This window comes from Homo sapiens, chromosome 12, assembly GCF_000001405.40.
Source record: "Homo sapiens chromosome 12, GRCh38.p14 Primary Assembly".
NCBI lineage: Eukaryota > Metazoa > Chordata > Mammalia > Primates > Hominidae > Homo > Homo sapiens.
Window position 1 is genome coordinate 13,179,925 of NC_000012.12, and position 12,380 is coordinate 13,192,304.

The following is a 12,380-nucleotide window of genomic DNA, read 5'->3' on the forward strand; positions in this document are numbered from 1 at the left end:
AGGCTGGGGGCGGAGCCTGTCTGCTATCTGAGCTAGTCATTCCTGCAGTGGTCTGGGTAGTGTGCATCCTCAGCTGGCCCTGGCAGGCATAAGAATTTGTAGAGTATGCTCAGTTCCACTCAGCATAGGGAGCTGTCACAGTGACAGGTACAGAAGGGACCCAGTGGGCTTCTAAGGCTATGTGAAGACAAAGATAGTTTGAGAAGGTACTTTATCGGGGAACCTGCCCTGATATTCATGTAGGTTCTTTTCTATTTTCCCTAAGCATTGGCCAGCTTGAGAAATAAAGGGACAGAGTACAAAAGAGAGAAATTTTAAAGCCAGGCGTCTGGGGGAGACATCACATGTCTGTAGGTTCCGTGATGCCCCACAAGCCACAAAAACCAGCAAGTTTTTATTACGGATTTTCAAAAGGGGAGGGAGTATGCTAATAGGTGTGGGTCACAGACATCAAGTACTTTACAAGGTAATAGAATATCACACGGCAAGTGGAGGCAGGGCGAGATCACAGGACCACAGGACCGGGCCTAAATTAAAATTGCTAATGAAGTTTTGGGCACCATTGTCATCGATAACATCTTATCAGGAGACAGGGTTTTGAGATCAACCGGTCTGACCAAAATTTATTAGGCGGGAATTTCCTCTTCCTAATAAGCCTGGGAGCGCTATGGGAGACTGGAGTCTATTTCACCTCTGCAGTCTTGACCATAAGAGACAGGCACACCTGGGGGGGCTGTTTATAAGCCTATACCTCCGGGTGCGTGTTCTCTTTCTCAGGGATGTTCCATGCTGAGAAAAAGAATTCAGCGATATTTCTCCCATTTGCTTTTGAAAGAAGAGAAATATGGCTCTGTTCTGCCTGGCTCACCGGCGATCAGAGTTTAAGGTTATCTCTCTTATTCCCTGAACAATTGCTGTTATCCTGTTCTTTTTTCAAGGTGCCCACATTTCATATTGCTCAAACACACATGCTGTACAATTTGTGCAGTTAATGCAAATATTACAGGGTCCTGAGGCGATATACTTCCTCCTCAGCTGACAGGATTAACAGATTAAAGTAAAGACAGGTGTAGGAAATCACAAGGGTATTGACTGGGGAAGTGATAAGTGTCCATGAAATCTTTACAATTTATGTTTAGAGATTGCAGTAAAGACAGGCATAAGAAATTACAAAAGTATTAATTTGGGGAACTAGTAAATGTCCATGAAATCTTCACAATCCACGTTCTTCTGCCATGGCTTCAGCTGGTCCCTCCGTTTGGGGTCCCAGACTTCCCGCAACAGTACTTGAGGGTCTCCAACAGTTAATCATGTTGAATAAAAGAGAGATCAGTTTTTACAATGAAGAACCTTGCTCCACCCCCTGCCATGCAGATTAAAATCCTCCAAAGCAGAGGTAAATTCACAGTGATGAAAAGATCCACATCCCTCTAAATAGGTTTATGGTCCTTAATTTTTAATTTGCTTTTTTTTTTTTTTTTGAGACAGGGTCTCACCCTGTCATCCAGGCTTGAGTGCAGTGATGTACTCATGGCTCACTACAGCCTCGGACTCTTGGGCTCAAGTGATCCTTCCACCTCAGCCTCCCAAGTAGCTGGGACTACAGGCATGAGTCAGCACACCCAGCTATTAAATTTTTTTTTCTAGAGATAGGGTCTTGCTATGTTGCCGAGGCTGGTGTTTAACTCCTGGCCTCAAGTAAGCCTCCCAAAGTGCTGGAATTACAGGCATGAGCCACTGCACCCAGCCTTGCCACTCATTGGGCAAGAGTTTTAAAAATAAGTTCTGTGTGCCTAGCACCTCCTGAAGTGTTGTGGGGATACAGAAGAGATATAAGAGCTGTTTGCCATCTTTGAGGACTTTATAGTTAAGGAGAGAGAATGAACTCAGCTGAAGCAAACTGGAGACAAGACATGCAAAGCATTCAGCCAGGAAGTCCTGAGTGCCTACCAGACACTGCTCCGGGGAGGGCAGCTGTGAAATAGCATAAAGAAATGCCTGCTGTCAGGAGCTCATGCTCTAGTTGGGGGAGCAGGTGGAATAATAAGTGGGGTATATGCCATATGCTGGCTAATGCTGGATAATGGATAACAGGTAAGCAGAAAAATAAAGTGGCAAAGGGGGATAGGAAGTGTTGGGGAAGGGTTGCAATTTTAGGATAGGTGACTGGAAAAGTTCTTCCTGAGACAGTGACATTTGAGTCGAAACACGAAAGATACAAGTACTGAAACTGCATGGTTCAGGCTGGAAAAGGACAATCGTAGAGTGGTAAATTGGGAAATAAGCAGAGGACATTCATGCAGAGGCTGAGGCTATATCCACACCCTTGAAAGTCGGAAAGGCTTTATCTAGTAAGAAGAAGGGATAAGAGGGACAGAATTGATATGATTACCTTGAAATTTGTATAATCCAATAAATGTTTTCTCTGCTCTGTGTCTTATATATTACACAGTTTCAAGAAAAACAATTCTATTGCCTACTTATACCCTTTGGGTGGATACATCAGCACTTGGACTTTTCCCAGGGATGTCCGGCAGTCCCCATCACAGCATTGGGGACTGGGAGGCAGCACGAGGATTGCTTAGCAATGTCCACCGGGGAGGTAGCCTGGGTGGGAGGGCAGTGGCTCTGCCCTCACCCAGGGGGACATGGGGTTGAGAGTTGCTCAGCCGCTTTCTAACCTTGTGACCTGGTGTGCTAATTTTCTCATCTGTTAGTTGAGAATATTACCTTATTATTATTACTTTTTACAGGGTTGTTATTAGGCACACATTAAGAGCTCAGCAAGTCATACCCATGATTACTGTTATCATGATACCACATAACTATGTGAAACAAAATGACGAGCCGACAATTGTGAAATCTGTCATAAGTCTGAAGGGTGCTAACATCAGTCAAACTTGTATTTCACTGTAGAACTGCCAGCCTCGGGTCAATGACTAAATCAGGCACAAAGAGAGGCTAAATAATGCACCCCTGTCCACCACACTTGGGAGGTGTGGTTGGATGCATGCTCTGACCTGGGGCACCAAGGTGGAGTACTTTGAGGGTTTGGGGCAAGTCCTGGGGAAGAAGAGTGGAGAAGAGGTGGGGAGGAGGCAGGTGGGGCTGACCAAGATGTAGGTCTGAATCTGGCATCAGCCTCCGGGCCATGAACTCCTGTGAACCTTCCTACCAGAAGGTGCTAGCTCACCAGCATCATAGGTTGTCCATCCATCCTTCCCTGGGGAGTGTCACTCAGGAGGGGACCTGGGGAGAGCTGGCACTGAGACTTCTGCTTTCCCATGCACTATCTCTTTCCTTCTTATTGATCTTGACAGTTCACCATGTGAGTGCTCAAAAGCTTATGATAAAAAACCTGATCAACCTGATGGTGAAGCTGTAAGAAGTTTCAGGCATTTAAAACTGGTCTGGATAAGACCTGGGGGAATCCTGTGGTCAGCGAGTTAAGAAGGATAGAAGGCCCTCGGAAGATTGAGAAAAGAAACATGGGGCTGCAGAGAGCCGAGTGTTTCGGAGCAAATGAAAAGTCCATGGTGTGTGCTAGAGGCTCACACTCTGGGTGGCAGGAAGACCAGGTCCTGCTGCAAATCTTACATCGGCTTCTTGAGTGTTTAAGTCACTTTGCAATGTCATGCTCATCACTGAGCTCTGGTCTCCCTTTGAGCACAAGGGACAAGCCAGGCTCTTCACATGCACAATTCTGTGTCCATTGCTGATGAAGATTTCTCTTGACTTCCCATAGGCTGAATGGGCAGGCATTCAAATACTTGATGATTCATTGATCAACAAGGCAGTAACTAGGACTTTTTAACAATCTATTTTTAAGGTTTATTGAACACTTATTACATGCTAGGCACTGTGCTTTACACACATTATCTCATCTTATAAAAACTTTATGATACATGTACTCATATTTGTTTTGCAGGGAAGGAAATGAAGCCTCAGAGAGGTTATGTGATATGCCTCAGCCTCACAGTTAGTAAGAAGGAGGACTCCTGGGGTGGGGTTACTCATTCTGCCTAGGGTGAGGTGGAAGGATGAAATGGCCCCACAGAGGAGGTGACATTGAGACTGGCTCACACCAATGGCTGTGAGCTTGAACACAGTGCAGTACTGCCTTAGCATCCACCAGTGTTTAATTTTTGACTTGTTTATGTCTATCAAAGTAGGTTACCAAGGATGGGTAGATGTGTGATCTTTTGGGGCGAGTAGGATAAGGAGATAAACATATTTATAGTGCACTAATGTTACAACCAATCCATTTTCACAATCTTTCATTCATGTATAAATCGATTTTGTTCAATAAAAATAATAAAGCACGCACTATGTTTAAGCATGGCTGGCCATTGGTGAGGGTTTAGAGACAAAAGATCATTCCTGCCTTCAGGATCTTGCTGTCTCTTGGAAACAGGGAGACAGAAAAGTGAATATTGGTAAACTCAGGTGTACTTAGAGGCTGTGGGAGCTCCCCGGAGGGGCATCAGATTCACACTAGGGCTGCGGGTGTCTTCCTGGGGATGCTGGTGGCCAGGCTGAGTCTTGTAGACTAGGCCAGGCAAGGGAGAGCAGGCCAGGCAGAAGGGCATTTCATCAGGCAGGACATGGAATGCTTGGAGGTTTCAGGCTCAGGCACAGAGAGAGTTCAGTATGGCTGGGACAAAAGGCAGGGAGAAGAGGGTGACAGGCTGGTGGGCCTGAGAGACAGGGACAGTCAGACCAGGGAAGGCCTTGTGTGCTGGCCAAATAGTGGGTCCATATCCTAAAAGCAATGGGGTGCCATTGAATAGCTTGCTACAGAGGAAAGACTTAGTAGTTTTAGAAAACCACTCCGAGAGCAGGGGAGATCAACCAGGACAGGGCAGCTGGAGAGGAGAGACAGGCTAGGAAGCAATGAGAGGATCCAGGACAGTGAGCTAGAAGCAGGCTGCAGAGGGCTTGATTGGGGGAGACAGCTCTCGACACTCACTTGCCCTCCATCTCAAATCAGAAAATACATAGACTGCATTTGTTCTCATAGCATTGTCATATTTAGTTCAAACTAGTATCTCTATTTGTTTACATCTAATGCCTATTGGTTATAACAAACAGTCTACAAACAACAGTATTGGGAGCCTCAGCGGCAGGTATTCTTCAAGGTCTTTACATATGTCATGTCATTTCGTCTTCCTATCAACTTCCTGGGATAGATTTCATTATCTTCACTTTACAGATAAAGAAGTTGAGGCTCAGAAAGTTCAAGAATATGGCCAGAATTGGACATGGAGAGTGGAATAATGGACACTGGAGACTCAGAAGGCGGAGGGTGGGAAGGCAATGAGGGATGAGGAATTACTCAATGGGCACAATATGCACTGTTTGGGTGATGGTCTCACTAAATGCCCAGCTTCACTGCTGTGAAATACATCCATGTAATAAACTGCATTTGTGCTCCCTAAATCTACAAAAATTACAAACAGAAAAGAATTTGCCCAGAGTCCTTCAAAGTGACAAAGCTGGGATTCCAACCAAGCATAGCATTCTCAGTGAAGTCCCATGGTGGGTTTTTGTATTTGTTTTGAAGGGGGTGAATTCCTCCCTTTTTCACCCTCCACACTTTTTAGCTGTATGTTAGCAATCCAGGTCCTTTAAGAAATTCATTTTTATATCTTCAAATTTTCCTAATTAAATAAAGGTCAAAGATTGCACCAGGTGCTGAAATGGAGGTTTTGTAATTTGTAAAATGTTTTCATCTATGTTGCCCTTGCTGGGTCCTCCTATGTTCCACTGAGCTTGGAAAGACATTGTTTTCTCCAGATGATTGATGAGGAAACTGAGGCAGAGAAGCAGACGTCATGTGATTAAATGGCATAGCCTGTGCTATGAATTTATCCTTTGCCTTTTGTCTCTCACTGACTACACTCAGGTGGCAAATGGTATCACATGAACATTCTTTGGTGCATAAAACTGAGGGAAAATGCCATTTAACTCTCCGAATGTTTCTGCCTTGGCATCCAATGCAACTCATTCAAGAAACACGCAGTACCTAAGGTGTCCAGGTACTGGGAGTTCAAAGATGCCCAGCTCAGCCCTTAGGGAGCAAGTGGTGCACAGAAGGATGGACACAGGGGAGCTGAAGGTGCGACAGGGTGGTAAGTGGCATCCCAGAGGTGTGGCCAGAACAAGCCAGCTCCTGGGGTGGGGTTACTCATTGTGCCTAGGGCGAGGTGGAAGGAAGAGATGGCCCCACAGAGGAGGTGACATTGAGACTGGCTGTGGAGGTAGAACAGCATTTCTTTAGGGAAAGAAGGGCAGAGACAACAACATCAACAGGATCACTGGTTAAGTCTTTGCTATGTGCCAGGCCCTGTGTTAAGAACTTCAGAGATATTATTCATTTGCTACTTTCAATAACTCTATAAGGCATCAACTGGTATTAGGCCCATTTTATAGATGAGGAAATGAAGGCTTAGGGAGGATTTGCACCTAGGCAGTCCGATTCCAGCTCATTCTCTCAACCACCGCAGCACAGGGCAAGCACTCAAGCTAGAGAACAGAGCTTGAGCAACACCTCAGAGGTGTAAAGGTGCCTAGCTCACTCAAGGTGCAGGGTGGATGCAAGGAGGGAGGAGGGCATAGGCCTGAAAGGGGGGTGGGGCCAGTGTGCCATGGGCCTTGCGTGAGTTTATCTTCCCAGCAAAGTTAGATAGCAGTCATGTGATCCGATCTGATTGGGTCTGTGTTTCATCTAGATACTCTGGTGCCACAAACTCAGTGCCTACAGGGGGCCAGGCCCATAAGGCAAATGAGGCAAGCAGGCCAAGCGAGAAGGAGGGGATGTTTGGCAAAGCAAAATTTTATTTGAAATGTCCTGATTTTAAAATATAGGAGACTAATTCAGATTCCTTTTTTAGAACACTTTCAGGACCAAACAAACTATGTGTGTGGGCTGCAAGTTTGCTACTGCTGACATGGAGGATGGATTGGAATAGAGAGAGCTCAGAGGCAAGGGGCTCAGTGTCAGGAGCCCATTGTAACAGTCTAGACAGAGGAAGAAGACTGGAGCATAGGCCACAGCATAGGGAGGAAGTGGAGGGGTCAGGCCTGAGATAGATTTTAAGTAGATTAAATAATATTAGTTGACTTTGAATGTGGAGAGTGGGAGAGGGAGGAGTAAAGGTTGACCTGGTAGATGATGGAGCCATTCATTCATTTAATTTTTGGACAATTATTTATTGAGTACCTACTATATCCAAGATATGGCCTGAGGAGCAGAGCTACCACAAGGAATAAGACACGATACCTTGCTGTGAAGAAGCTCTGAATCTACTGAGAAGGTCTGTTGAAAGATAAGGTCTGTTGAGAGATTTGGGGGCATGTAGGAAGAGCACCCACCCTAGTCTGAAGCAGCAGGGTGTTAGGGAAGGCTCTGCTGATGCAGGAGAAGTGCAGGTGTGAGAGAGAGGGGCACACATTGGATTTTGGATTTGTTGAGTTGGGTTTTAGCTACAGCCCAGGTTGTTCTGTGATCTGATACCACTGCTCTGTGATGCTTTTAGTTTCATGACACGTTAAGAGTCCAGACAGCTTGCTCACTCATATGACACATTCCTTTCTTGAGGTCATGCATTCCCCGTATCCTCTTTTAAGATACTTGGCATACATGTGTATACTGCTGAGAGTGTAGCAGATGCTGGCGTTACTGTCAACGTCCATTTCTTTCCTGGGTCCCTGCCCACTTGTCATCCATCTTAGGTGTTGCAATATTTGCAAGGTGAACCTGGGCTTGTTTGTTTAGATTACTCATTGCTGTTGTGGAGAATGATCTGCTTTCTTTCAGGTATTATGATTATCATATGGTGGATTAATTAGGAGGAAGACACCCTGTGCAGTTCATCACTCCACCTCCTGTCTGAGAGTGCCACACATTCTTTATTCAAACCTGGGCAAGGTTTTGCTTCATTCATTGAACACACATTTGTTGGGCACCCATCATGTGCCAGGCACTGTTCTAGGTGTTTGGGTTGCATTCGTGAACAAAGAAGGGCTCTTACCCTCATGCAGCCTTGCTTTCCTGCAGCCTAAATGATTTGTTCATGTTTATTTCTGTGTTGCTCTTTTGGGATGTGCACAGATGTGTGGCCCCCTCCCAGCCAGAAGAATGTTCCCACCAGTCCCCTCTCAAGTGAGGCTGTGTTCCCCATCATCTGAGGCTGTCCATTCTGTTCCCCTAATATGAATTGTCTGCAGCATGGCAGCTCTTTACCTTGGCTGTTGAAATCTCCACTGTACCAAACAAAACCTTAAATACTTTGCCCAAGTTCTAAATATCACCGTTCCTCTATATACTCTGAAAACAATTTATGTTCTTCTGATAAGATAATTTAACTGTATCCTTAAACCAGACCCTTTATCCTTCCCATGGATCTACTCACCAGATGCACACCTTCTGTCATAAAGCCCTTGTGGTCTTTTGTTCTCTGTCCTCAGCTAAAAGTCCTTCCTACGGGAAAGTGTTCAGATAGACCCAAAAGGGGCCTGGAACTCAGGCTTGAGCTGGTACACTGGTATGGATTTGGCAGAGCAGGATACTCAAGAAAACTTTTCTGGGGAGGTTGGTTTTCACCAGGTCACCTGGGATGCAAAGATAACCTGGGGATGAGGAGCCAAGAGGCCATTGCAGGGGTCATTTGGGCTGGGTGAGTGCCCTGCTCAAACAACAGGGGTGCAGAGACCTCTCGGAGTCATAAGCTGCTCTGTGAAGGTCTAGGAAGCTCTGGCTCGGATTGCTACCAACAGCAGTAGTTAAAAAAAAAACCAATCCTCATATCTGCAATTTCTTCATCTATTTGTACCATCCTTGATCTATGGCAGACACTTCATAGCTTCCAGGAGCCACGAAAAGGCAAGCATTGTAAAGGAAAGAGAAAAGTTAACAGCAAACAAAGAGTTAAAAACTCTAAGAAACTTAGATGCTGTTCTTTAATAGATCTGTGGCTTCGATCAAGCAAGTAGGCTTCCCTGAGCCTTGATTTTACCTGCCCAGTAAGATTTTTTTAAAAGGTTGGAATAGGAGCAGTGTGTGTGCATAAGATGCTATGCAAGTAGAAGTTGTTTTTTGCTGCTGTTGTGATTATTATTTTTACTTTTAGCAGGCTTCCCTCCTAAAGCCTACATTAATCTGGACCTGGATCTTTGGGGCTACTCCAAGGGTTGTCCCTCTGTGGCCAAGGACAGTCCAACAGCCATTACCCAGTGAGCGACCCCCTGTCCTGCCCATCAATCAGCCAGCACTGGGCTGAGGAATCTGTGCAGCTGTGGCCTTGCCACCAGCTAGGAGGGACCTTGCACTTTCTTGCTTCTGCACCAAGGCTGGAAATTCCTTGGCAGGGGCTCCACCAGCATAGACTTGCCTGTTTCACTGCACCCAGGGTGCTGAAGGAACCCCACCATACCAGGATATAGGGAACTATAAGCTCATTAGGGACAATTCACTAGCATACCTCCTGCTGCCCTGCAGAGCTCTGTGTGGGCTCCAGCCTGTGGAACTGACTAGAGTCACATGCTGAGCTGTGGGAATTGAGGCATAAAGTGAGGTTCAAATGATGCCAGGAGTCTGAAATTTTGGGAAATGAATGTGCTGGAACTGAAAATGCTAATGGAGTAGTCTGGGGAGATTTAGCCAGAACTAAGGGATCTTTAAAAGATCAGATTCCTGGCAACAACTCAGCCCTATGTCTTTAAAGTTAGGCAGCCTCCTTTGGCTTCATGTTCTCAGATGAAAGATCAGAAGGACAGCAATATGAACTGTCAATCATTGCTCATGACATAAAAAGAGAAGGAAAGAGGCCAGAGAGAGCTGGTTGGCATCCATTAACACAGGCTTCGCCTAAGTTTTTAGATTTGGGAAAGTGACCATATAATATTAATACTAGAGGGGACCCTCAAGATCATGAGAAATGACCCCATGGAAGAAACTGAGACCTGGAGTGCTTAAGTAAGCTTTCTAAGATTGCACACCATTGAGTGATATGATCAGTGCTGTACACCAGTCCAATGGATGGGAAACAGAATAGTTAATAAGGCGGCAAATATGTCATTACATGTACAGATATGTTACGTACAGGAGTTCCACCATGGTATTGTTTATCATAGCAAACAATTGAAGCAGCATAAATATCTATTATCCACTAATAAAGAATTGCTTAAATGCCTTATGGTATATGCACTCAGTGGAATACTACATAGTCATTACGAATAATGATGTCGATCTACATTTATTGACATGGGGTGCTGAGGGGCTTAGCTAGAGGGACACATAAATTTTGGTATGTAATAATAATGGATGTCAATGCAGCATGCACATCGTTTTGGGTAAAATTTCATATGCGTATATGAATACATATATATGAAAGAATGTTTATAATAATTACCCAAGATGTGCGGTTTTGGATAATTTTAACTTTTTTATTTACACTTCCATGCATTGTTGGAATTTTGTTTGAAGATAATATATTATTTTTTATAATCAGAAATCGAACAGTAAAAGGACTTCCTCTTTTTTTGGTCATGGAACTCCATGTGCAGTTTCAGAGCTTCCCAGGATGGTGGGAGTGAATTTCCACACCCAGTTGGTTTATAGTTGCTTTCCTCAATAATAGGCAAGTGCTGCCCAGCACACAATCCAGGGGATGGCCATTCAGAGAGCATGGTACCTTGGATCTTCCAATGAAAGTTGCTGGTGCAGGAAGTAGATTAAGATGTCCCCAGAACTTCAAGATAAAGTCTCTTTTGAAGAGTAAAAGTTGGAATGAATGGAATGGTTGCTTTGAGCTTCTGTGGAGGTGACTACCTTTAAAATAGTCACAAATGGGTGGCAGGAGAGATTTAGGAACCCCCTACCTCTAATTAAGATGACCGGGTATAGTCACAGGCAAGCATGACTAGAGTGGAATTATAGCTGGAAAGGTGAGACTGAATCAATTGCATTGGCTAGCGCTGTAATTTGGCTGAGGACATAGTATGTTAACCAAAGAGGGCTGATCAGCAACATGTCCCGAAAAGAGAGCTTTGTGTGTTCGTCAGAGTTTATCTAGCTTTGTGTGTTCGTCAGAGTTTATCTAGCTTTGTCCAAGGAAGAATAGCTGTAAATCCTGTGGCCATGGACTCTGCCAGGTTAAGAGCATTGAAGTTCCTCCCTACACATCATCCTACAAGAAGAGGCTGGACCTGGCATCTGTGTTTGGAATGGCAAAGGCCAACTTTTGTGCATGTGCATGTCTCAAAGGGTGGAAAGAGGTCTCGTTTCATCCTGTAATATTTTTTTAAAAATTGACCAATTATCCTAAAATTTAACCAGGATGCATATTCCGTTTTCCAGTGAGGCTGAATAATCAAGTCACTCTACTTAGTACTTGTTTATTTGTTTGTTTCCACCAAGAACCAATTTGTGTCTTTGAAAGTGCTAACTTGGTCTCAAAGATTACTCTGGCTCATCTCTGGGTCTCGTGTGTTTTGTGGACCACACAGTCTCATGGGGAATGTGCTTTAGGATTCTTAGGCTGGACCACTTGGCTTTGTGCCCCTTCCATGGCAGTTTTTCTCAGGCAAATTTAAAGACATGTACTAACTACTTTCCCCACAGCTATGGTGGCTTAGCTAGATGGGTGCTCTGACCATGCGGCATCTGAGTTTGAGGAACCGAGATCCCATTACTCGGTTATTTGACACTTCATTGATTGAATGTACTACATTTTAATTGAATGCCTACTATGTAGCCAGCATCTGCTTACTGGACCTGCTGCTCACTGTATGCAAAGGAAGGGCTAATCACTCTTTATTTCTTATGAATATTCAGTTCTTTACCTGAAATGGTCCATTAAGCAGTAAGAACAATGCACTCAGTAACAGGAGAGCTAAGGTACAAAAGAAAAACATTTATTCAGTATACCTTTAATATCTGTCTTCTAGTATTACAGCTGGCATTGGCTGGAGAAAGGATCTCTTCATTTTTCATTTTGGCTACAATTGCTTCTTACTTATTTTCTTGTTATTCTTCTCCCGCCATAAAGCTGTATCCACACTGGAAATGGCTCAGCTCCCTTTGTCAGCGATTTGGATCAGTCACGCATATCCCAACTGCCTGAAAAAACTGGGTTCAGCAATTAGTATCAATCTGGTAACTGTCTAATGTGGCAAGGGTGGCTCATTTCTCCTGCAAGTTTAGATGTCATTGTTGACATCACCACTTCTCCTCTCTAGCCACATGCCACTTTCCTCTCTGTTCCACCAAAAGTGTCAGGCCATGGCCCATATTCTAGAAAGGCTCTTGGTATTTCATCAGTGTTCTCTTTCCTAAGCAGTTTAAGGACCAGCTAGCTAAGAGACCAGAAAGTGGGGTA

General features: G+C 44.5%; 2 annotated features.

Annotated features, from left to right (window-relative positions):
* Positions 4,138–4,638: an enhancer, noted in NCBI's record as "H3K27ac hESC enhancer chr12:13336996-13337496 (GRCh37/hg19 assembly coordinates)". NCBI's record gives its function as "activates a minimal SCP1, AML or CMV promoter by ChIP-STARR-seq in primed H9 embryonic stem cells {active_cell/tissue: H9 hESC(primed)}" and the evidence as "EXISTENCE:reporter gene assay evidence [ECO:0000049][PMID:30033119]".
* Positions 4,639–5,139: an enhancer, noted in NCBI's record as "H3K27ac hESC enhancer chr12:13337497-13337997 (GRCh37/hg19 assembly coordinates)". NCBI's record gives its function as "activates a minimal SCP1, AML or CMV promoter by ChIP-STARR-seq in primed H9 embryonic stem cells {active_cell/tissue: H9 hESC(primed)}" and the evidence as "EXISTENCE:reporter gene assay evidence [ECO:0000049][PMID:30033119]".